The sequence below is a fragment of the Homo sapiens genome, chromosome 1 (assembly GCF_000001405.40).
Source record: "Homo sapiens chromosome 1, GRCh38.p14 Primary Assembly".
Classification (NCBI taxonomy): Eukaryota; Metazoa; Chordata; class Mammalia; order Primates; family Hominidae; genus Homo; species Homo sapiens.
In genome coordinates this window covers 209,875,196-209,878,365 of record NC_000001.11, presented here as the reverse complement: position 1 = coordinate 209,878,365, position 3,170 = coordinate 209,875,196, and the positions used below count along the sequence as shown (strand labels likewise).

The following is a 3,170-nucleotide window of genomic DNA, read 5'->3' as shown; positions in this document are numbered from 1 at the left end:
GGAGTGCAGTGGTGCGATCTCAGCTCACTGTAACCTCCACCTCCCGGGTTCAAGCAATCCTCCCACCTCAGCCTCCCGAGTAGCTGGGATTACAGGCACCTGCCATCATGCCTGGCTAATTTTTATATTTTTGTAGAGACCGGGTTTCAACATTTGGCCAGGCTGGTCTTGAACTCTTGAACTCAGGTGATCTACCCACCTCGGCCTCCCAAAGTGCTAGGATTACAGGCGTGAGCCACTGTGTCCGGCCTGATTTCGTTTTAAAACAAGAATCTCTATCTTAATGAACAGTGTTCTTATCCTCTTCCAAGGGCTTTCCCTGAGGCTGCCAACCTCCAAAAATTGTTTTATAGTTCCAAATTTCCTACTTCTCCTTCCCCAATCAGAATCTTTATTCTTACAAGGCAAGCTGTTTAACTAGGTATGAGAGGGAAAGCAATCTTATTAAATTAAATCATACTAATGTGTGAATGACTAAGTGAGACTCCTCAAGAAGTTTTTGACTTTTTATAAGAGAATATTTACTAACCCTAAATAGTATCTAGATTTTCAGCCTTCACTATAAATTGGGGGGAAAAGGCAATATAGGAAAGATTTCTACTAAGTTATAAGCATGAGTTCCTTAAGAACAGAGACCATCTCATTTTGGGAGTACTGAGTTACCTAGTACAATCAATTGAGTACCTAATCAATATTTATTGAATTGAAAAGAATGTGGAAACACAGAGTGGATAGGAGAAGGGAGAGGGTAGGAAAGCAAGGGTACTGAGGGGAAAGAAAAGACAGGAAGGAAAAAGAGAAGAAAGGAAGGAGGAAGGAAGGAGGCAGGAAGGAAATCCAAGAGAGGGAAAGAGAACTAAACACAACCCAAATTATGGTACAGTTCCTGGTTTCTTTTGCAGTGAGAGCCCTCAGAAAAACTGTAGCAAAAAAGAATTTATTTGCAGTAGAAAAAAAAATTTTTTTAACTGCTGCTGTTTCAGAGTGCCAACAACAGAATAGAGCCAAGAGATGCTGAGCCCTAAGGAAAGATATTGATCAAAGCCATAAATTTCTGTTTTTCTAGCACAATAGCAATGACTCATGACGGTTGACTGGCCACCGTCAGTGAGCCTCCCTGAGGGCCCCTTGTACCCAGCAGAATGGATCCACTGGGTCCATGATCATCTAACAGTCACAGGAACTCAGGGACTAACCCTGTTAGGGTTATGAAAATGGATCTCTGTAGATTCAATATAATTAGAGAGTGCATTCATCCATAGAAGTCCACAGTGGAATTTTCCACAGAAGCCAAACTAAAGTGGAAACTTGACAAAGAAGTGGAGGTCAGAAGGCAAGAGCCAGGACCACCAGTTTTCCTTGGGGTTTCAGGAAATAAGGGAAGAAATCTTTCTGAGCTGCTAAAGAAGAAAAGTGAAGCAGCAGACTGGCTACAGGGAACCAAGAAGACCAAATGTTCTTTAGAAGCTAGAGAGAAACGGGCTCAGGGGCTCTGAGCAACAGAATCCTCAAACAAGATCAGCCCAAGAACCAAAGGGATTGGGACCATTTTTGCCAAGATATCTATCAGGGAATATAATCTGTGCACTATGTGATTGGCCTGCTCTAGATGGAAATATCAGAGGTCCTGCTCAGTTCACAGCCAATAAGATCATATGCATTTAAGTGCTTGCTTCCATCTGTACCAACAGTGAAATCATGGTGCCTGGATTTAGAGCCAAACGCAGTCCGGACCCTCCCACTCAGGGTTTTATGACCTTGGTTAAGCTACTTAATCACTGTAATCCTCCATTTCCTCATCTGTAAAGTGGAGGAAAAAACTTTTGCTACCATTTAATAAGTATTTCCTATTGCCAGACACTATGCACTCTACAAATATTACCTTCTTTACTCTTTACCACCATCCCAAGAGGTAGGTATTATGACTGTCTTGACAGATGAGGAAAATGAGGCTTAGAGAGATTACCATGCATGTTCAAGGTGTCACAGCTGGTAAGTATTAGGATTGGAACTGACACTTGGTCTAACTTCAACGTCCACAGCCTCAGACTGTGCAGCACTGCCTATCCAGCTGCCCTAAAACCACAGAGTTGAATGCAGATGGCAATTTTCCATGCTTCGGTTCAAATACAGCTGAAGAAGCACCCTCTTCCTCTATCACAGTGGGATCTACAAAAGGGAAGTCCTCCCCTGTTTATTTTTCAGCGAACAAAAGACACAGCGCCTTTTTCTGGGTATTTGTTTTATCTTGTTGGCATCCTAAACCTACAGACTAGAAAACATCATTCTCAGCCCCTCAGGTCTCCAGTGAGCAAAACTATTATAAGGAACTGCCATTTGTCAGCTTTCCTCGGTACCCTCGACAGGGCAAGGGCATTGCCAAAATATGGTCCCTATTTCTGCAGGCTGTCAGCGGCTGCAACCTTGGAATTCAACCTCTCCAGCTTATTAACACAACAAATTACCCACCACGAGAACTGCGGAGTGCATTCGCTTGGAAAATGGTCTCTTTTTAATGAAGTGATTTAATTAGGAGCAATTTTCCCATCAGCTCACTTGTCAGAGCATGGCTGAGGCAGCCATTGAGATGAGCGTTTGGCCTGTGCCTTCCTGCTCCCTCCTTTCTGATGCCACCTTTTGGAGAAGGAGGAAAGTGAAACCACTTTAGGAAAACACAGTTCAAGCTGGGAAAGGAGACAGATCAGGCCTGAAGGCTGTTTTGTAAGGTCTTCAGAGAGTCCACCGTTTCAGGATGTGATTTGTCCATTTGTAGCGTGATTCTCCCAATGGGGATTTTTAAAGACTTGAGCATCTTGTGTGTCTCCCTTCCGCTCCTTGCCCTTAGCCTTGATCTCCTGCAGGCCTGGTGGTTAAGAAAACAAAATGAATTTCAAAGCATTACTTGCTGGAAATGTGTAACTCTGAAGGATGTTTGGGGAGGAGGACTAATGCATGGTTGAATCCAGTTGAGTCTGTGGTATCCACAGGCTGCAAAGTTTCTAAAATTGCATTAGAAATCTGATTTTTTTTTTTTTTTTTTTTTTTTTTTTTAATGAGACAGGGTCTTGCTTTGTCACCCAGGCTGGAGCGCTGTGGTGTGATCATGGCTCACTGCAGCCTTGACTTCTCAGGCTCAAGTGATCCTCTTGCCTCAGCCCCTCCCAAGTAGC

At 43.4% G+C, this 3,170-nt stretch overlaps 1 annotated feature.

The window, feature by feature from the left end:
- Positions 2,310–2,811: an enhancer, noted in NCBI's record as "NANOG hESC enhancer chr1:210048900-210049401 (GRCh37/hg19 assembly coordinates)". NCBI's record gives its function as "activates a minimal SCP1, AML or CMV promoter by ChIP-STARR-seq in naive H9 embryonic stem cells {active_cell/tissue: H9 hESC(naive)}" and the evidence as "EXISTENCE:reporter gene assay evidence [ECO:0000049][PMID:30033119]".